This window comes from Homo sapiens, chromosome 22, assembly GCF_000001405.40.
Source record: "Homo sapiens chromosome 22, GRCh38.p14 Primary Assembly".
Taxonomy (NCBI): Eukaryota; Metazoa; Chordata; class Mammalia; order Primates; family Hominidae; genus Homo; species Homo sapiens.
In genome coordinates, this window is record NC_000022.11 from 29,884,132 (window position 1) to 29,906,614 (window position 22,483).

At 39.0% G+C, this 22,483-nt stretch overlaps 1 protein-coding gene and 1 pseudogene across 3 annotated transcripts in view; one reads left to right on the plus strand and one right to left on the minus strand.

Annotated features, from left to right (window-relative positions):
* Positions 1–22,483, plus strand: part of MTMR3 (myotubularin related protein 3) — a 147,695-nt gene that overhangs the window by 958 nt on the left and 124,254 nt on the right. The window lies entirely within an intron of this gene.
* RNU6-331P (RNA, U6 small nuclear 331, pseudogene) lies at positions 15,456–15,562 on the minus strand (annotated as a pseudogene).

Consider the following 22,483-nt stretch of genomic DNA (forward strand, 5'->3'; position numbering starts at 1 on the left):
CTCACTTGTGAGTTTTGGACATGGACTGCTATTACATATTGATGTTCAAATGTCCTTTCCAGACCCAGGCCTAAATTCTTACTGTTGTAGTATCTTGATTCTGACATCTATTTTTCCACAACCCAAACAAACAAAACAAAACAAAACAAAACCCCAAAACCATATACTTTTCTAGTTAAGGTTCAACTTTCTCATATGTGAATGGTAATGCCATAAGAGGCCTGGGTTGAATTACAGGAGATTATTATTATTTTTTTCAATGTGAAATGTTTGTGATTTGTCCATGGAGAGGTGGTGGGGACCTTCCCCTTTCAGATTCAGGGCTGTTCAGTAGGACAGGAGACATTGATGGCATGCAGAAAGTCTTCCCTTTATAGGGCCTATGACTTGGGTAGGCTAGAAGAGCTTACAGAATGACACTTTTTTTTTTTTTTTTTTTTTTTTTTTTTAAGACAGAATCTCTCTCTCCCGCCCAGGCCGGAGTGCAGTAGTGCGATCTCTGCTCACTGCAACCTCCGCCTGCCAGGTTCTAGCAATCCTCCCACCTCAGCCTCCCAAGTAGCTGGGATTACAAGTGTGCGCCACCACGGCTGGCTAATTTTTGTATTTTTAGTAGAGACGGGGATTTCACCATGTTGGCCAGGCTGGCCTGGAACTCTTGACCTCAAGTGATCCGCTTGCGTTGGCCTTCGAAAGTGTTGGGATTATAGGCGTGAGCCACTGCCGCCAGCCAGAATGACACTGTTTTGAGTAAACCCAGTATAGTATGTGATATTAAATTAAATTTGGAGGATTCTAGAATTTTAGATTGGCTGCCTATGAATACCTCTTTTGGCTCCAATTACTCCCTCATTTTCAGGTGACTCAGAGAACTTCAAGTGACCAGCACAGTGGTACAGCCCCGCTTGTCGTTAATGACCAGCCATAAAAAACCCTGAGTTTCTCAGCTCATAGGCCAGGTTCTTCAGTGGTTGTCTAGTTTAAGGCTGGTCATTAGAAATATTATGGACTACCTAAATTCCTCGAACTCATGCAGGACCTGGTGAATTAAAATCTCTGAGGATAGAGCCTGGGGATCTGTCCTTACAAAGCTCCGTGAATGATTCTGGTCAGCAAGGCATGTGAACTTTTGCTTTAGGTTGGGTATTCCAAAGAAGTCCCATTAATTATGACTTCTCAGGGTGCTTTTGTTTATAGATCTTTAAGAATTTAAGAGGTGGAGAAGGGGAAGCATGAGAAACTTAAAGAGATGCAAATTGAGCATCTCTTAAAATATAATGGATTTATGTAGGGGAAACAGATTTGTTGCCAAAAGTTAATTTGCAAACAAGTTATTAGGAACACACTTGATAAAATTAGATGCTGATTAATTGGAGATATACTGTATCCAGAGATATATTGAAGGATCCAGAGGAAATAAACAGAGAAGGAGAGGGAGTAAGTCGGCTTCTGGCTCATAAAGGGGTCCACTGAAGATGCTTCCCACCATTATGGTTGCTCCTAAACCATCTGACTCAGATTTCTAGTGGAGGGTAGGATGGGTGTGTTAGCAATCATTTGAGACCCGGGTTGTGAACCAGGAAGGGTTACTATGTATTGTGAAAAGTTCTTGAGATTTGCCGCAGGCCATGAGGAGTGGTAAAGTCAGTTTAAAAATCTGCTGTAGTTCTAGTTAACACGTTCACACCTTCTTCAGTAAAGTGGAATGCTGTTACCAAAGGAAGTATTCGTGTTTTAGAGGGGGGTGTGGTGAAGGTTCTTACAAGTTTGGAAGAGGTGGAAGAAAATGTTGTTACAATTGTGTAGAGTAGTGAAGGGCTTTGGTAAATATCCTGTCAAATCATAGAGTAGTATTTTTAGAGTTGCACCCAGCTGTCCATTAGAAGAGCCAGAGGCCTTGTCTGTTTTGTTCCCTGGTGTCCCCAGTATCCAGCGCAGTTATCCGCATATTCTGTGCCCTCAGATATTTTTTAATTAAGTGAATACTATTGATATGGGAAAAAGAACAGTTATGGTGGTTTATAGCAGTGTTAGTTATTAAAAGCTACCTGATATTTTGCAATGGATTAAAGAGCCAATTTTTGATCAAATAGGGCTCTGGGTAGGAAAGAAAATGAAAATGAAGAGCCAGCTTTCAGTGCTTATTGTTTGGAATTTTTGAGATTCCTTTAAGAAATTGTTTTCTAAAGACTGTCATGAACATTATCGAGTCCCCTAGTTTTTGAGTCTTAATGAATCTTAAGTGTTTCAGATGTTAGTTACTTTTTTAAGAGCACAGTAAGTGCAAAGGTAGTATAGAATAGTGGGAAGTTCTGGATTGACAGACATATATTCTGATTCCATCTGTGTCATTTATTGCTGTTGGGAATGTCACTTAACTTCTCTGGGCGTCAGTTTTCTCATATATACAATTAAGGGCCTATAGTCTTTGACCTCAAGTAGTTTCTCTAGCCTGATTCTGCAAATTTTTAATCATTTCTAATTATGTTATTTGGTATTCATCTCATATAGGTAGATGAACTTTTATTATTTAAAAGAAACAAGATTCTGTGTTGGGTTCTGCTTTTAGCTTATGGATTTTAGACATTGTCCAAAAGTGCTTCCGATGTTGAATGTATGTTGCAAGTGTTATGTAGAAAGAACATGCTTATGCTGTTGTAATTGGCTTAGTGTTGAAATCAAATTGGGTTTTACATTGGGAACTTCATAATTTAGTGTGAAGTCATGAGACTTGAGAATGGTTTGGGGGGAGTTTGTGCAATTTATATAGCTAGCTGTTTCTTACCACCTAATTCTGTAATTTTCTATGATGAATATATAGATAAATTTATAATCAGTGTAACATTGATTTAAGTTATAAGATGATATCAGATTCATACTGGATTGAACTAGAACTCCCAGTAACTTTAGAGGCTACCAAATTATTAACATGTCATTGCTATTTTTAATCTTAATTTTGTGATATCAATACTGATATGCTTTCATCTTTGCTTTTGTATCTAGAAACAATATACCTTTTAAGTTCATATTTGTATCAGATATTAAAAATGAAAATTGTAGCATGAAAGTGGGTAGATAGTAAATCTTGGGTTCAAGCCTGGGTTGTTATTCTTCATTACCCATGTTGTTTCTGGCAAGCTACATAACCCCCCTGAGCTCCAGTTCCCTCATTAGTGAAAGGAAGAAGAGCAACTTTTCTACTTTTCTAACAGACTGTGGATCAAACAATAGTGTATATGAAAAGCATTCTAAAAATGTAAGGGGCTGGTATTAGAATCGTATTGTATTAGAATCCTATTTTATGTCTTTGAAGAATTGGCTTGTGGAGCAGTGGTAAACCTAGTCTGTATTGTCAAGTGCAGAATTTACCAATATCACTGATATGGCAACAGAGAAGGTTTCTGCTTCTGTACTCTGGCTGGAGAAACCTTTCAGCACATGTATCCTGTCTGCCAGTCGGAATAGTCACAATGTTGCAGGGACTTCAGAGGAACCTGGGATGTCTCACATTTATGCCAAGGTCTCTACTTGGAATAGACTTGGCTAGATTTCACCCATTTTCTTATGTTGGAGCAGTGGTAGAAGGTGGTAGGAGCAAGGAGTTCAGCACATTCTGTGTAAAGTTCTAAGGCTGTGTTTTTAAGTAGCAGGTGGCAGTGTCATAGGGTAATGAAATCAATGTACTTATTTAAAAAAGCATTTTCAGAAAGAGAATATATCAGTACATTGCATAAAGTAAAAGTAAATATAGACACAGAGGTATTGTCTTGATGCTGATAGCTGCAGATATTCAGAATGATTCTGTTACAACAGATGGTAGCAAGCTTTTCTGATTTCACTTATCTGGGGTCTAAATCTAATTTCTTTAGTAGTTAATACTGTTTTGTTTTGTTTTTTTTTTTGGACACAGAATCTTGCTCTGTTTGCCCAGGCTAGAGTGCAGTGGCACGATCTCGGCTCACTGTAACCTCTGCCTCCCGGGTTCAAGATTTGGGAAACTTTTGTTTCTTTTTAAAAGATATTTTTATGTATGTATACTTGGTTGCCGTGTAAAATGTATTTTTTCTTTTTAAAAATTATAATTTTCATTTTTTGTAGAGACAGGGTTTTGCTACGTTGCCCAGGCTGGTCTTGAACTCCTGGGCTCAAAGGTAGTCCTCCTGCTTTGGCCTCCCAAAGTGCTGGGATTGTAGACATGAGCCACTGTGCCTGGCCTAAAAGGTTGTTTTTTTCTTTTGGGTTGTGATAAAACTTTGTCGTCGTTGTTTGGGGACATAGTACTTGGGCAATGTGGATAGAATGACTGTCTATAAAATAGTAAGGCATGAAACTAACGAAAACAAAAAGAAAATTGTGAAGGTGGGTTACCTTAAAGCTATTCTGTTAGTGGTGAAATACCTCATAGCTATGTTCTGAACTGTTGATTTAATGAACAAAGCACATGAACTTATGCTGTAATAATATTCTTAAGTACTCTTTTCCCTTAACATGGAGTATGGAGTACTTTAACCACAGAGGTATTGTCTTGATGCTGATAACTACGGATATTCAGAATGATTCTGTTATGACAGATGATAGCAAGCTTTTCTGATTTCACTTACCTGGGGTCGAAATCTAATTTCTTTATTAGTTAATACTTTTTTTTTTTTTTTTTTTTTTTGAGACAGAGTCTCGCTCTGTTGCCCAGGCTGGAGTGCAGTGGCGCGATCTCGGCTCACTGTAACCTCCGCCTCCTGGGTTCAAGTGATTCTCCCTGCCTCAGCCTCCCCAAGTCGTTAATACTTTTATAACTTAGTTGCAGAAGAGAAATATAAATTTATTTAGTTTTCAGAATTATTCATAGATTTATAATCTGGCAAAATATAAGGAAATTATAAGTATATTGATAAATCATGACATAACTGGCAAGAATTGGTATGAAGACAAGATGGTTATAACTTGAAATAGGGTTGTTATTTATTCTATGCCTATCATTTTTCCATGAGATAAACCAAATATTTAATTGTTTAGACTGATTCCACAAATGACATGGGAAGGCAGAGTGTTTATAAAGAGTTTTGGAAGTGATATAGGACACTATAATTTGGAGTTTTAACTTAATCTTATTTTAAATTTCAAAATGAAATTATTTCTGGTTATGAAAGCTACGGAACTTTTTTTTTTTTTTTTTTTTTTAGATGGCGTCTCGCTCTGTCACTCAGGCTGGAATGCAGTGGTGTGATCTCAGCTCACTGCAACCTCAGCCTCCTGGTTCTAGCAATTCTGCTGCCTTAGCCTCCTGAGTAGTTGGGATTACAGGTACCTGCCACCACGCCTGGCTAATTTTTGTATTTTTAGTAGAGACAGGGTTTCACCATGTTGGCCAGGCTGGTTTCGAACTCCTGACCTCAGGTGATCCGCCTGCCTTCGCCTCCCAAAGTGGTGGGATTACAGGCGTGAGCCACTGCACCTGGCCCAGAACGGTTTTAGTGTTTTTTAAAAAAAAAAGTAGAGATGACCTGTAATCCCATCTGGATGTAATGTTTGGTATTTTTGTTTTTTTTCTTATACATATCTATTGAAATAATTTTAAAAAGAACAACTTTCCCTGTAAAATTGATATTCCCTTAATGAGCATTTAGTGTTTATAATATGGATGCATCATAGTTTATAGCAGTTCTGTGTTATTAATGGATATTGTCAATTTTTCTCTTAAAGCAGTACTGTGATGAACTCGTTTGGACATTGAATTGCATTGAATTGTTCTATTATTTTATTATTTCCTTAGGATAAATTCTTTTTTTTTTTTTTTTTGAGACAGAGTCTCACTTTGTCGCCCAGGCTGGAGTGCGGTGGTGCGATCTAGGCTCACTGCAGCCTCTGCCTCCCGGGTTCAAGCGATTCTCCTGCCTCAGCCTCCTGAGTAGCTGGGCGTACAGGCGCATGCCACCACGCCCGGCTAATTTTTTGTATTTTTAGTAGAGACAGGGTTTCACCATGTTGACCAGGATGGCCTCGATCTCCTGACCTCATGATCCACCTGCCTCCGCCTCCCAAAGTGCTGGGATTACAGGCCTGAGCCACTGCACCTGGCCCAGGATAAATTCTTAAAAGTGGGTTTATTACCTGGGCGTGGTGGCTCATGCATGTAATCCCAGCACTTTGGGAGGCCAAGGCGGGTGGATCACCTGAGGTCAGCAGTTCAAGACCAGGCTGGCCAACATGGTAAAACCCCGTCTCTACTAAAAATACAAAAATCAGTCGGGTGTGGTGGCGGGCCTCTGTAATTCCAGCTACTTGGAAGGCTGAGGCACAGAGAATCACTTGAACCCAGGAGGCAGAGGTTGCAGTGAGCCGAGATTAAGCTGCTGCACTCTAGCCTGGGCCACAGAGTGAGACTCAGTCTCAAAAGAAAAAAAAAAGTGGGATTATTAGGTCAAACGGTACGTGTGTTTTAAATTTAGATATACTCAAGATGCCCTTTAGATAGGATGTCTATTTCAAATTCCCATCAACAGTGTATTAGTATTCAATTCCATATATTCTTGCTAGTGATTTGTCATCTTTAGCTTGTTGGGAGTTTAAAGTAGTTTGAAACAGTTTTCTGTTTCTTTTTCAGCATCAGGACTTACTTCCATAGCTTAACTCTTCGGAGGGAGCTGATAAAAATGAAAGATCAGTGACAAGGGAGTGGTGTAGACCAGTGGTCTTCAAACTTTTTGGTTGCTTACCCCATCACTAAAAAATTTTGAGCATTAAGCAGGTGCGGTACATGGTTCTGTGGTCCCATCTACTTAGTTGGCTGAGGCAGGAGAATGTTTGAGGCCAGGAGTTCAAGGCTAAAGTTCACTGTGATTGTGCTTATGAATATAGCCGCTGTACTCTAGCCTGGACAACATAGCGAGACCATCTCTTTAGAAAAAAAAAAAAGATGAGATGGGAAGAATGAAGTCAGAAAAAAAAAATTGATAGGACTTCGTGTTGTTGCTTTGAGAAAAGAGAAAAAGAAAAAAATTGAGCATCAATTCTTAATCCTTAGATATTTGATTTACAAATAATATATGTATAGTAACTGATTATTGTGGACTTTATAAAATACGAACAAAAAATCAACAAGGATGATAATTAAAAATAAAGTTCAGATATTTTCCTTTTTTACCCTGGGGTGTCTTGGTTACTCCTGGAGGTATGCGTGTGCGTGTGTGTATGTATGTATGTGTGTGTGTGTATATATTTAATATATATGTGTATACATTGTATATGTGTATACATAATATATAATATATATGTGTATATATAACATATATATATGTGTATGTATAATATGTATATATTTTTTAGACAAGAGTCTTTTTCTGTTACCGAGGCTGGTGTGCAGTGGTGCGATCTTGGCTCACTGCAACCTCTGCCTCCTGGGTTGAAGTGATTCTTGCGCCTCAGCCACTTGAGTAGTTGGGATTACAGGTGTGTGCCACCATGCCTGGCTAATTTTTGTATTTTTTACTAGAGACGGGATTTTGCCATGTTGGCCAGGCTGATCTGGAACTCCTGGCTTCAAGTGAATTGCCTGCCTTGGCCTCCCAAAGTGCTGGTATTACAGGTGTGAGCCACCGTGCATATGTTATACTTGCTTTGGATACTACTGCTTTAGACTCTTAAGGTTTAATATTGAGCATTTATAGATGCTTGTTTTTGGGCATTTCACTAGTTTTGCTGGTCCAGTTTAGTTGGATCATGAATACCTTTAAAATGTCCCATGCTAGGCTGGGCGCGGTGGCTCAGGCCTGTAATCCTAGCACTTTGGGAGGCCAAGGCAGACGGATCATGAGGTCAGGAGATCGAGACCATCCTGGCTAACACCGTGAAACCCGCCTCTACTAAAAATACAAAAAATTAGCCCAGCGTGGTGGCACGCGCCTGTAGTTCCAGCTACTTGGGAGGCTGAGGAAGGATAATCTCTTGAACCCAGGAGGCGGAGGTTGCAGTGAGCTGAGATTGTGCCACTGCACTGCAGCCTGGGTGACAGAGCGAGACTCCATCTCAAAAAAAAAAAAATGTCCCATGCTCTTGAGAGTCGTATCTGCAATAAGGGTAAAAATAAATTTAAAACATCAGTTCAATACTTTTTGCATTGTTGAGGTGGCTGAATTTGAAAAGGACAAATAGTAGGATAAGAAGCAATGTAAGTACTCTATTTCTTCTAGATATGAAGAATTAATATTTTGTAGAACATATTTTAAAAAATTATGTTTTTTGGAAAGCCGTTTGGCTGTAATATGTATCTCCCTGTTTTTTAAGAGTTAGGTCCTAGAGACTGAGTGAAGGTATGAATAATTGCTACTTGCTCTCCTTTGCTTTCAAAGTACCACAATTAACCTGTCACTAACTCTGTTTGGATTAGCCTGAGCCTATAACAAACTTTCCATGATGATTCTTAGATTAAAAGATAATTTTTTTCTTGAGTTAGAATAAGTTGCTTTTGATCTGTGGCTGCCTGCCCCCCAACCCCTATAAATTATGACATCAGGAAACAAGGCTTTTTGTATTAGAAAAAAATGGGGAAATTAATTTCAGTTATTTCATGTGGGTCATTGGCAGAGAAAGATAATACTAAAATCTTAGAGACTGTGAAAAGAGATTATATTAAGCAACTTGAGTGATTACTTTTTTGCCAGTTAAAAGAAATGAGATAATTTATATTGAAGATGATTGCTATATACAGTGCTTTGCACAAAAGGCCACATATCTCTTTTTACCTTAGGTAACATGATGTATAAGCTACTTTCACATATATCTTCTTAGGTCATCACAAGGATTTGAGATCATCATTTAATCAGGACTGTTGTGACTTGCTTGAGACCACATGCCTAGTGTTTGACATCATATTTCAAGAGGTAGACTGAAAGTTCTGCAGAAATAGGGACTGGTGGCTGTTCTCTCCCTTACTCCCTAGCAGTTAATACATTGCCTGGTACAGAGTAAGCTGTCAATATTTGTGGACTATTTAAACTCCTGCATATTTATTTACACATGTAAATAAGTTATAGCATTGTAAAACCAACAGGTATATTTTCCGTAGTGAGATTGTTCCTTCATCTTATGTGCACAGAAAATATTTTCGTGGAAGAGGTCTTGAATTTTAGATCAACCTTTCACATATCCCTTTACTTTCTCTTAAGATACTTTCATGGTGACAAAAAAAATACTCTTAATGTCATTCCTTTCACTGTGTGTGTAACTCCTGTGGCAAGACTGTATATTTGTATGTATGTATTTGTTTATTTAGTAGGCTGCTATTTATAAAGGAAACATACTCATTAGTTGGTCTTTGCGTACATAATGGTTCCCAAAACATGGACTCCATGGTTTGCTGTGAGTGAATGAAAAAGAGCAGGTATGATTCCCCTCACCTTTGTCATTCTCTCCAGTTTCTTGTACATATGGTTGACTTACTCAGCAGTAAGTGTAACTTTACAATGAAGAAAATTAGTCTTCCAAAGAACTAGTATGCTACTTCCCGCTTGTTCTGCAGTATTTAAAATCCTGTTTGGTAAATGAACTAAGACACTTATATATAGAAGAGACCCTGGATGGCCATGAATGGAAATATTAGTAGTGATTAATTTCTGTCTTGGTGGGATAATGTGGCTTTTTTGCTTCTTATTCTTTTAGAGTTTCCCATTTTTCTACAACGAGCATGTATTACTTTTATACGTAGGAAAAACTGCTATTTTATTTTATTTTTTATTTTTTAAGACGGAGTCTCACTCTGTCACCCAGGCTGGAGTGCAGTGGCGTGATCTCAGCTCACTGCAACCTCCACCTCTTGGGTTCAAGCCATTCTCGTGTCTCAGCCTCCCAAGTAGCTGAGACTACAGGCAGAAGCCACCACAGCCAGCTGATTTTTTGTATTTTTTAGAGATGGGATTTCGCCATGTTGGCCAGGCTGGTCTTGAACTCCTGACCGCAGGTGACCCGCCCATCTTGACCTTCCAAAGTGCTGGGATTACAGGTGTGAGCCACCACGCTCAGCCAAAAACTGCTATTTTAAAGTCTTTATTTTTCACTGGATGTCTTCTGAAGGTTTATGTCGCACTCACCATTGAGAAAGTGGGTGGTTAACTGGCTCCAGTTCCTAAGAGGAGTGGCAGCGGTAGGAAGTAGTATGGGAGGAGTGGGGCAGGTAAGCTGATTTGAACTTTATCATTGTGAACTCCACTATGACTAAAGACATTCTGGGATTTGATCACAATTAAACCCAAGAGGACTGAGCCATCTAGTTTTTTTCTTCTTAATAAGCTGATTGAGAATTATAAAAGACACCTTAAGAAAAATCAGTTTCTATGCACTCTGTAAACACAGAACTCAGCCCGAACTCCCAAGTTCTGTATCCGTGTGTGTGTGTGTGTGTGTGTGTGTGTGTGTGTTGTGGTATGTTTTAAATATCAAATGGAGTTGTGGCAACTCAGATGGGATATGGTTTATATTAATACATCTAATATGAATTGGAAGATGCTTAGGCAAACGATTTTTATTATGACAGTATAGGCTTATTGGAGTTTTGGTGTTAATATACAGCTGGGAGTTGAGCCGTTCTAAGTTTATATAGCCATCTGGTGATATTTTAGGAAGAGCTGTGTCACATATCCTCTAGAGTTTAAGTGATTAGAGCTTGTTGGCTTTTGCTGTTAGTTTACTGCACACTTGTAGTGTTTTAAATGCTTCTGTGAATGGATAACATAATTCAAAAAGGTTAGATTTCTGGGTTAAGACATTTGTTATTATCGGCCCTTACTTTATTCTTTTAAAGAGTAAGATTAGGCTGGATGCAGTGGCTCGTGCCTATAATACCAGCACTTTGGGAGGCCAAGGTGGGCAGGTGAGGTCAGGAGTTTGAGACCAGCCTGGCTAACATGGCAAAACCCCATCTCTACTAAAAATACAAAAATTAACGGGGCGCGGTGGTGGGCATCTGTAATCCCAGCTACTCAGGAGGCTGAGGCAGGAGAATCACTTGAACCTGGGAGGTGGAGGTTGCAGTGAGCTGAGATCGTGCCACTGCACTCCAGCCTGGTTGACAGAGGGAGACTCCATCTCAAAAAAAAAAGTTGAAGAGCAGTTGAAATAATAAATGTAGGTACTGTTAGGTGGGTGCAAAATTAATTGTGGTTTTGGATTGTGAATTTTAAATCATTGTAACTAGGCCCAAACAGATCTTCATTTATCAAAATAGGAACTGTTACAATCAACACATTTTTACCGATGAGAAATAAGTTTGTTTATACCTGTAGTATAAAAATCCATGCTTTGAGATTCGATGAACTCTTGGAAAGCATTTTCTGCATCCTGCTGGTTGTGGAAGCATTTTCCCTGCAAAAAATTTTCTAGATGTTTGGAAAAGTGGTAGTCGGTTGGCGAGTGGTTAGTTGAATATGGTGGATGAGGCAAAACTTCGTAGCCCAATTCAACTTTTGAAATGTTGGTTGTGCAACGTGTTGTCGGGTGGTTGTGGAGAAGAATTGGACCCTTTCTGTGGACCAGTGCTGGCTGCAGGCATTGCAGTTTTCAGTGCATCTCATCGATTTGCTGAGCATACTTCTCAGATGTATTGGTTTTACTGGGATTCAGAAAGCTGTAGTGGATCAGACCAGGAGCAGACCGCCAAACAGTGACCATGACCACTTTTTGGTGCAAGTTCGGCTTTGGGAAGTGCTTTGGAGTGTCTTCTCGGTCCAGCCACTTAGCTGGTCATCACTGTTGTTGTATAAAATCCACTTTTTGTCGCACATCACAATCCAACCAAGAAATGGTTCGTCGTCGTTACGTAGAATAAGAGAAGACAACATTTCAAATCGACAATTTTTAAAATTTTCGGTCAGCTCATGAGGCACCCACTTATCAAGCTTTTTCACCTTTTGGCTGGGCGTGGTAGCCCACGCCTGTATTCCCAGCACTTTGGGAGGCGGAGGTGGGCAGATCACTTGAGGCCAGGAGTTCAAGACCAGCCTGGCCAACGTGGTGAAACCCCATGTCTACTAAAAATACAAAAATTAGTTGGGCATGGTGGCGGGCATGTGTAATCCCAGCAACTAGGGAGGCTGAGGCACGAGAATCGCTTGAACACAGGAAGTAGAGGTTGCAGTGAGCCCAGATCACACCACTGCACTCCAGCCTAGGTGATAGAGTGAGACTCCATCTCAAAAACAAACAAACAAAAAAAACTTTTTCACCTTTCCAGTTGGCTTCAATTGCCTGCCAAACAAGGGTAGAATGGTCGACATTGAGTTCTTCGGCAATTTCTCGTGTAGTTGTAAGAGGATCAGCTTCGATGATTGCTCTCAGTTGGTCATTGCCAACTTCTGGCCGGCCACTACACTCCTCATCTTCAAGGCTCTCGTCTCCTTTGCAACACTTCTTGAACCACCACTGCACAGTTTCTGGGCCAGATGTGTAGTTGATGTTGTGAGTTGTCTCCACTGCTTCACGACCCATTTTGAACTCAAGAAAATCACTTGAATTTGCTTTTTGTCTAACATAATTTCCATAGTCTAAAAAAAAAGCAAAAAATACGTTATTAGCAAGAAAAGGCAAGAAATGTGCATTAAAATGATGTATAACATAACCATTTATTTAAGAGTGTATTCCAGTATTAAATGGCAAATTTCAACAGTGCAAAAACTGCAATTACATTTGCACCAAACTAATAATATAATTTTTTTTTAGTTAAAAATTTTATAGTACAGAATAACAGGCTTGTCTCACACACACACACACACACACACACACACACACATACACACACACAAATCCCATATAGAATCTACAAAGCCTGTCTGTCTCTGAATTCCACAACCTTGGCTTATTTTTTTAAAGTAAAATTTAAATATTTAAAAAATTTAGAAAAATATGGAGAATAAGTTAACAAACACCATGTACTAATTCAGTAGATTTTTTTTCTTTTTCTTTTTCTTTTTTTTCTTTTTTTTTTGAGTTGGAGTCTCGCTCTGTCGCCAGGCTGGAGTGCAGTGGTGGAATTGGCTCACTGTAACCTCTGCCTCCTGGGTTCAAGCGATTCTCTACCTCAGCTTCCCGAGTAGCTGGGACTACAGGTGCACGCCACCATGCCCAGCTAATTTTTGTATTTTTAGTAGAGACAGGGTTTCACCATGTTGGCCAGGATGGTCTTGATCTCTTGACCTTGTGATTGGCCTGCCTTGGCCTCCCAAAGTGCTGGGATTACAGGCGTAAGCCACCATGTCCAGCCCATTCAGTAGATTTAATAGATGCTGACATCTTGTCAGATTTGCTTCAAAGGTGTATTTAAGTATGTTTTTATTTATTTATTTATTTATTTATTTTTGAGACGGGCTCTCACTCTGTTGCCCATACTGATGTGCAGTGGCGCAATCTCTGCTCACTGCACCCTCCATCTCCCAGGTTCAAGTGATTCTTGTGCCTCGGCCTTTTGAGTAGCTGGGATTACAGGAGCTCGTCACCATGCCCGGCTAATTTTCTTATTTTTAGTAGAGACAGGGTTTCACTATGTTGGCCAGGCTGGTTTTGAACTGGCCTCAAGTGATCTGCCCATCTTGGCCCCCCAAAGGGCTGGGATTACAGGGGTGAGCCACTGTGCCTGGCCTGTATTTGCTTTTAAAAATTAAAATATGCATACGGTTGGAGTCCCTTTTGTCATCCTCTTAGATCGTATTTTCGTATGCAGAAGTTATTTATCTTTTTAGCTCATGCACTTATATTCTTCCTACAAATATCTATATATATTTTATGTAGTATTGGGTTTCAAATTTATGTGATATTTTAGTACATACTTTCTATAATTTGAAAAATGACATGTTGATATATGTGTATTATTATTATTATTTTTTGAAACACAATCTTGCTCTGTCACCCAGGCTGTAGTACAGAGGCACAATCTTGGCTCACTGCAACTTCCGTCTCCCAGGTTCAAGTGATTCTCGAGCCTCAGCCTCTCGAGTAGCTGGGATTACAAGTGTGAGCCACTGCACTTGCCTTACTTCATTAATTTTAATAGCTGTATAGTATTCAGTCATATGAATGAATAGTACACAATTTTAGTCCTTTATTGATAGTTGTTTTCAACAAATATACAAAGGTAAACTTTTTCCTCAAATTGGGTCAAGCTATATATATTGTTCTAAATTAGCTCTTTTTCTCCCAATAATAATAGTGTGCAGGTTTGTTACATGGGTATATTGCATGAGGTTTGGGGTACAATTGATCACATCACCCAGGTGGTAAGCATAGCACCCACTAGATAGTTATAAGTTTTTTGAGACAGGGTAGGTCTCTGTCCCTCAGGCTGGAGTGCAATGTTGCGATCACTGGTCACGGCAGTTTTGACCGCTCGGGCTCAGTCCATCCTCCCAGCTTAGCCTCCTGGGTAGCCGAGACTACAGTGTTGGGCCACCATTCCCTGCTAATTTTTGTATTTTTTGTAGAGACTGGGTTTTGTCCTGTTACCCAGGCTGCCTCGAACTCCTGGACTCAAGCAGTCCACCCACCTCAGCCTCCCAAAGTGCTGGTATTATAGGCGTGAGCCACCGTACCCAGCTCCTAGTAGGTAGTTTTGAACCTTCACGCCTTCCCATCCTCTCCTCTCTGTTAGTTCCCTGAATCCCATGTTTACTTCCATGTTTACCCAATGTTTAGTTTAGAATGATGATCTCCAGCTGCATCATGTTGCTGCAAAGGACATGATTTTATTCTTTTTTATGGCTGCAGCGAACCTTTGGGTAAAGAAAATTTACAAAAATTTCTCACATCTTTTTTTTTTTTTTTAATGAAAGTAAGTAGTAGTAATCCATAGTTCAGATCTACTTTATAAGTGAGTCACTGATAAAGACAGTAGTTACACATTTTATAACATTACCTTGATGGGACAAATTTTTCTTGTTTTGTTTTTGTTTTACTTGAGTTAATTTGGATGAGACTTTCTTGAATTACTTACATTTATAGCATTTACCTCCAGTGGGGTTGAGATGAGGAGCCTTCAATCCAACAAAGTTGTATACATGCATTCATGGAGATGACACTTAGGCTATTTAATCAGGAAACACTCATACTTGTCCACATGTAGATAGTCCTATTCTTTGGAAATTTTGCTATGTTGCCCCTGCTGGTCTTGAACTCCTGAGCTCCAGTGATCCTCCCACCTTGGCCTCCCAGAGTGCTGGGATTATAGACGTGAGCCATTGTGCCCAGCCAGAAATATGATTTTAATTCCATAGTATATAGTATATGTTATTGTGAGTAGAATATGTTTATTCTGTAAGTAGCAAATTGACTCCTTCAACAGTTTTAATAGTTTTCTAGTTGTTTTGTCTTTAGTTTCCCAGGCAAATAATGCTGTTGTCTTCAATCACAGTATTGATTAGTTCATCCCATTCTTCATATTGATCATTGTTTTTGGATATTAAATAATACTACTGTAATAATTAAGAAAGATGGAAAGCCTCACCAATTTGCATGTCATTCTTGTGCAGGGACCACGCTAATCTTCTCTGTATTGTTCCAATTTTAGTATATGTGCTGCTGAAGCGAGCACTCCATTTCTGTAAAGCTTAAAAAATGGACAAAACTAACAGATGGGAATGGAAATCAGAATAATGGTTATCTTTGGTGGTGAGGACAGGGGAGATTGTAGGTATGCTGCTAATGTTCTGTGTCTTGATCTGGATCTTGATTTCATGGTTGTGTTCAGTTTATGAGAATCATCGAGTAGTAGACTTAGGAAAGGTGCACTTCTTTGTATGTATATTATACCTCAGTTAAAAACTTTTGCCTCGCAAAATTTTAAAGAACGTAATCTGCTGAGTTCGTCGTCTTTTAGCTTTTGATGTAACTTTTCCACTACTTCTCTTCATATGTGAATACACTTAATGATAAGCCATTTAACCTTTTTATTATGATATAAAACAAACATACAGAAGAGTGCACAAATCAAATGTATAGCTTAATGAAATTTTAAAATTATTAAATTGGAGGTTTTTTGGGGTACATTATACCTGTGTCTTTGTTAGGAGGGAAGGAGTTGATGGAGGGCTAAAAATTCTGGAGAGGACAAAGTTTTAAGGAATCTCAGAACACCAAAACCTCATCTTGGCTCTGCCTTCACATTATTGTTTCTTTGGGTAAGTCATTTAACTTATTTAGACTTCACTTTTTTTTGTATAAGTGGTATAATACTTAACGTTTCTTTTGCAAACTGAATTAGGTAGGTGAAATTCACGTAAAATAATAGGAATATAGAGTACTGTTGCTAAATAGGTCTTTATTTAGGCCATTGAATTTAGGCCACTTACCTTACAGAGCAGAATTGTGGGATACAAAGACTACACAGCTGGTGATTATTGATATCATTCATTTATATTAGGTTAGTATTGAGGCTTAGTTAACTATGCCAGGCACTACCCTGTGATTTATTATAATACATGTATTAACTCATTTAATAGTCTAGGATTATTCCCAGAGGTAGGTAAAATTATCCCAATTTTACTGATGAGACAATTGAGGCAAAATTAAGTTAAATAATTTGCCTAGGTGGGTTGAGTTCTTGAGCCTGTGCTTTAAAAAAAATTTTTTTTGAGAAAGGGTCTCACTCTGTCACCCAGGGTGGAGTGAGTGGCGTGATCTTGGCTCACTGCAGCCTCTGCCTTCAAGGCTCAAGTCATACTCCTGCCTCATCCCCCTAAGTAGCTGGGACTACAGGTGTGTGCCACCACACCTGGCTAATTTTTTTGTGTATTTTATAGAGATGGGGTTTTGCCACTGGACTCAAGTGGTTTGCCTTGGCCTCCCAAAATGCTGGGATTACAGGTGTGAGCCACTGCGTCCGGCCTAAGCCTGTGCTCTTTTTTTGTTATACTGCCTAGTTATGTGAAAATACGTAAAGACTTTTAGGCAAATGTTAAGATTTTATAATAATCTGTTAGAGAGTTTTTGAAGTAAAAATTTTGGTATTTTGAACCAAAATTAGGAGAAGAGTCTCATTTGTTTTGACCATGATGATTCTGGAAAAGATTGATGTTAATATTTATTACTTGGGCTTTATTCCCTTAATTTTCTCCTAAAATGACTAGGATGTAAGCACTAGGTAGTTTTCTTTAAGAATATATATATATATTTTAATATTAAAGGATTTTGTGACTAATTTACAAATATTGTTTAATTTTTAGGCGAAATGTTAATGGAAGGGAGTTTTCAAACTTGGAGGCAGATGAGACCAAAGTTTAGTGTTCTTGCTTCGGTGGTTTAAGCAGCATCTATTTGGTCTTGGTATTAGAGCAATAATTAAGACTCTATCATATGTATGGTTGAAAATTATTTTTATTAAGGTATGTTTGAGTATGGTTCTGTGAGGTTGGGAAACACATGTAGTTTTGCAAGCACCATGATCAAGATACAGAGTAGTTCCTCAAAAAATTTCCTCATGACCCTTTCTATAGTCAGCCCATTTCCTCACCTCTAGTCTCTGGCAACCACTGATCTGTTTTTTCTCTGTTGTATTGTCTTTTTTTCAGAATTTCCATGTAAACAAAATCATGCAGTATTTAGCCTTTTTGTTTTAATTTTTGTTTGTTTGATAGAAATGGGAGGTCTTGTTATATTGCCTATGCTGGCCGCAAGCTCCTGGTCTCAAGGGATCCTCCTGCTTGACTCAGTATGTGACTTCTTGAGACTGACATCTTTTATTTAACCTAATGTATTTTGAGATTCATCCATGTTTTTATGTATCAGTAATTACTTTCTGTTGTTTAGGAGCATTCCATTGTATGGATGTACAACAACTTGTGTGTTCATTCCCCAGTTCATTTGGGTTGTTTCCAGTTTTTGGTAATTACAAATAAAAGTGCCATAAAAGCATTGATGCATGCATACATACACATGTGCCCATGTATTTTTTTTATGGTTTAAAAAAATATGGTGCCTAGAACTTTTATAACTTTATTAGAGAACCTGAAAAAGCTGGTGATTTTCACAGAACATTATAAATTGCTTGGTAAACTACCCTAAAAAAGCCCACTCTGGAATGAGAAGAATCTGTTTGTATAAATAATCTTATAATATAAACTGTAAGTCATTAGAATTTTTTTAAATTAAAGAAGTACACACACATACTTGTTAAATGGGTAAATTTATATATAAAACTCCTTAGTGCATAATTTCATATTTTATGTTTTTAGTAGCTTTTAAATTGTCAATCATTGACTTTTTTGTTCCTCTAAGTAGTAGAATGGTTATATAATTGGTTATGAAAGTTTTTTTTTTTTTTTTTTTGAGACGGAGTCTCGCTCTGTCGCCCAGGCTGGAGTGCAGTGGCGCGATCTCCTGTCTCAGCCTCCTGAGTACCTGGGACTACAGGCGCCCACCACCACGCCTGGCTAATTTTTTTGTATTTTTAGTAGAGATGGGGTTTCACGATATTGGCCAGGCTGGTCTTGAACTCCTGACCTTGTGATCCGCCTGTCTTGGCCTCCCAAAGTGCTGGGATTACAGGCGTGAGTCACCGTGCCTGGCTGGTTATGAAAGTTTATAAGTAAAAAATAACTGGGAAAAATTTTAGCACTACAGAATTCCTTTTTCTTCTCCTCTCCTCCCCTCTCCTCCCCCAAGATGGCTGGAGGTATTAATATTGATAAGCAGAGTTTCATGTGAATAAGACATAAAACTTAGGTTGATTACCTATGTTAATAAATTATCTTCTTTGTTCCTATGTAGTGAGCTTTCTTTTTGCAGCAATCTGAGGCCAAGAGAAATAGATGAGACCTTTTTACCTTAGAAAAGAGATTGCAGGCTGGATGTGGTGGCTCACGCCTGGAATCCTAGCACTTTGGGAGGCCGAGGAGGGCAGATCACTTGAGGTCAGGAGTTCGAGGCCACCGCCTAGGCAACATGGTGAAATCTTGTCTCTACTAAAAACACAAAAATTATCTGGGCGTAATGGCATGTGCCTTGTAATCCCAGCTACTTGGAGGGTGAGGCATGAGAATCACTTGAACCCAGGAGGCGGAGGCTGTAGTGAGCCAAGATTGTGCCAGTCCACTCCAGCTTGGGTGACAGAATGAGACTCCATCTCAAAAAAATAAAATAAAAATAAAAAAGAAAAGAGTTTGCAGGCCATTTTTGCAAGTTAATTTTTTGAGGTTCCAGTTCCAACCCTGAGTCAGACTACAGAGGCCATAGGTGGTTTGACGTTTCAGAGAATAGCAGTGTTTTTGATTTTCTTTTTTTCTTTTTCTTTCTTTTTTTTTTTTTTTTTTGAGACAGGGTCTTACTGTCATCCAGGCTGGAGTGCAGTGGTGCAGTCATGGCTCACTGCAGCCTCAACCTCCTGGGCTCAGGTGATCCTCCCAACTTAGCCTCCCGGGTGCTGGGACTGTAGGAACATGCCAACATGCCTGGCTAATTTTTGTGGTTTTTTTTGCATGTACGTAGAGATGGGGTTGCGTCATGTTGCCCATCTTGAATTCCTGGGCTCGAGAGATCCGCCTGCCTCAGCCTCCCAATGTGCTGGGATCACAGGTGTGAGCCACCTTGCCCAGCCATTTCTTTTGTGTAGTATGGAATCTTAGTTTAAGCCCTCAGTTTAAATGTATTATATAATTGAGGTGCTAGGTGTACAGAGGTACTAGAACTACAGAGCTTTTCTCATTAATGTATGTTCCTTCTGATGTTGAATATTTAGAAAACTGAATATTGTGTTTGGAGCCAAGGGATATTACACTTGAAATATGGTCATTTGGTGAACAGGTATCTCATTTGTAGGCTATCATTATTTTTGGTGAACAGGTATCTCATATGTAGGCTATCATTAATTTTGGCAGTTTCACATTAAAATACCTGCCTGGAAATACCTGCCCAGTTTTGCCAGTAATGGGAATTGCAGGTTAACCGTTGGTCTTCTATATGTGGCTCTATGATGTGGACAAGACTTATAGCTCTTTACTTTAACTGAGACAACAATGTTGGTGATCCAAGTCTAGAATTCCAGGATAGGGTTGCCAAAATTAACACCGTGGGAGTATGGAGGTAGCAACTGTGGGATTAGTAATACAAATACAATTTTAATTAGCTTTATCAGTTGCACACTTAATCTTCATTGCTACCTTGTGAAGTAGGCACGGCAGGCTGTATATTGTTACTTCTACTTTACAAGTAAGTAAATTGTGTTTCATAGCTGTCAGGACTTACCTGAGGTTGCACTGCTAGTGAGTAGCTGAAATAGTACTTGAGTCCAGACATCAGGTTGGATGCTGTTTCCACTTTTGCAGTTCACTGTCGTGAATAAGAGCTCAGGCTTGGGTTTGAATTGTGGTTCTACCACTTACCTGTCTGTGATCTTGGGGAAGTTCTTTAACTTCTCTGAGTCTCAGGTTTAAAATGGGGCTAACAATAATACCTCTTAGGGCTCTTGTGAGATTTCAGCAAGTGCTTATAATATTAGATAACCAATAGTAAGCACTCAGTATTTGCTAATTGTGGTTGTTTCTACTGTTATTAAAGTGATAACAACACTACAGTTACACATCCTCTTTCCCCTAAGGATCTGTGTTAAGAGTTGAAAGACAATAAATGTAAGAAGCAAAAATATTCAAAGATGATAGAATAAGTAGCAAGGGGAGTTGATTTTAGCAGGAAGATGGACAATGTTCAGAGGGGTATGTGTGTGTGTTGTGTGTGTGTGTGTGTGTGTCTTGGTTTTAAACATGGTAGCAGTTAGACAATGAAGTTACAAGTGTGTTAGACAGTTGGAGCTTTAGGACAGGGTTGAGTAGGAGGACCAGTGTTGGAGGAAAACTTTTTAATCACCATCACAGATGGCATATGGAAATTTACATTTCTACCAAGATTTAAACATACCAATTTGCTATCCTCTGTTATGGTTCTTAGAGCTATTGTTACATCAGAATGGAGTAAGAAGCTTATCATACATTTTTCATTTTTAGTGGTTATACAGAGAACAATACAGAAAGTCAGCATATATCCTACTACAGTTTATCCTTGGTATACTTGGGGGATGGGTTCCAGGACCCCCACATACACCAACATCTGGGCATACTTAAGTCCCCCAGATGCCCCTGTGGAACCTGCCTATATGAAAAGCTAGCCCTTGGCCTGCTGTATATATAGGTTTCACATCCCGAGAATACTTTTTCCATCCACATTTGGTTAAAAGAAATCCGCACATGAGTGGACCTGTGCAGTTCAAACCCCTGTTGTTCGAAGGACAACTGTGTAAATAAAAGGGTGGTCCCTCTCCTTAAAATTTCATAGTTGATACTTGTATCATAGTTGATATATAGTAGTTGATACTATGAAAATTTCATAGTTGATAAAGTTTCATAGTTGAGCCCTTTTACCATGTGTGTAAGTCTTAAGGGCTAGGGAATTCAGAAGTATAAGTTACAGGGTTGTATCTTTTGGTGCTTGAGTCCTTTCCTTTGGATAAGGTACTTCCTTGATGTAAGGTAATGTTCTTTCAAGCATTTTAAATTAAATGAAGTTGTTTGAATTTACTTGTTGGGGAATATCTTGCCTTTAATATAATAGCTGCTATGTGGAATTATGTATTTTATGTATTCGGTGTTTTTGAACTTGCATCTTTTATTACTGTATTTTTACAGCTTTCCCCATTTTTGATATTAAAACAATTTTATGGGGTTTTGGTGCATATTTTAAATTTGTGCACTAAACACTTGCAAAAGCATATTTTAAATTATGGCAAGTTTCCTAAACCTGTTAACCTTTTATATATTAGCTGTTACATATTAACTTTTTTCAAAGTCATTATATATCCTTCTACTGACAAATGTCAAACAAGTTCTGAGCATCTGAAAGTCTAGATTCATCCAGAGTTTGCTCAGGATGGCATTTTTTTTGTTTTTCTTTTGAGGTGGGGTTCTCATTGTGTTTTCTACGCTGGCCTTTAACTCCTTGGATCAAGCAGTCCTCCTGTGTCAGCCTGCCAGGTAACCGGGACTAGGTGTGTACCACTGTGCCAGGCTTGTTTTCAAAGTTCATAGGAAAAACTTTGGTGTCTTCTAAAGAGACCAGTACTGTACACAAATATATTTGTCTCACATTTATCCATCCATCCGTCTGTCTGTCTGTCTGTCTGTCTGTCTGTCTGTCTGTCTGTCTATCTATCTATCTATCTATCTATCTATCTATCTATCTATCTATCTGTCTATCTATCTATCTATGACGGAGTCTTGCTTTGTTGCCCAGGCTGGAGTGCAGTGGTGCGATCTTGGCTCACTGCAATCTCCTCCCGGGTTCAAGCAATTCTCCTGCCTCAGCCTCCCTAGTAGCTGGGATTACAGGCGTGTGCCACCATACCTGGCTAATTTTTTTTTTTTGTATTTTTAATAGAGACGGAGTTTCACCATGTTGGCCAGGCTGGTCTCCAACTCCTGACCTCAAGTGTTCCATCTCCCTCGGCCTCCCGAAGTGCTGGGATTATAGG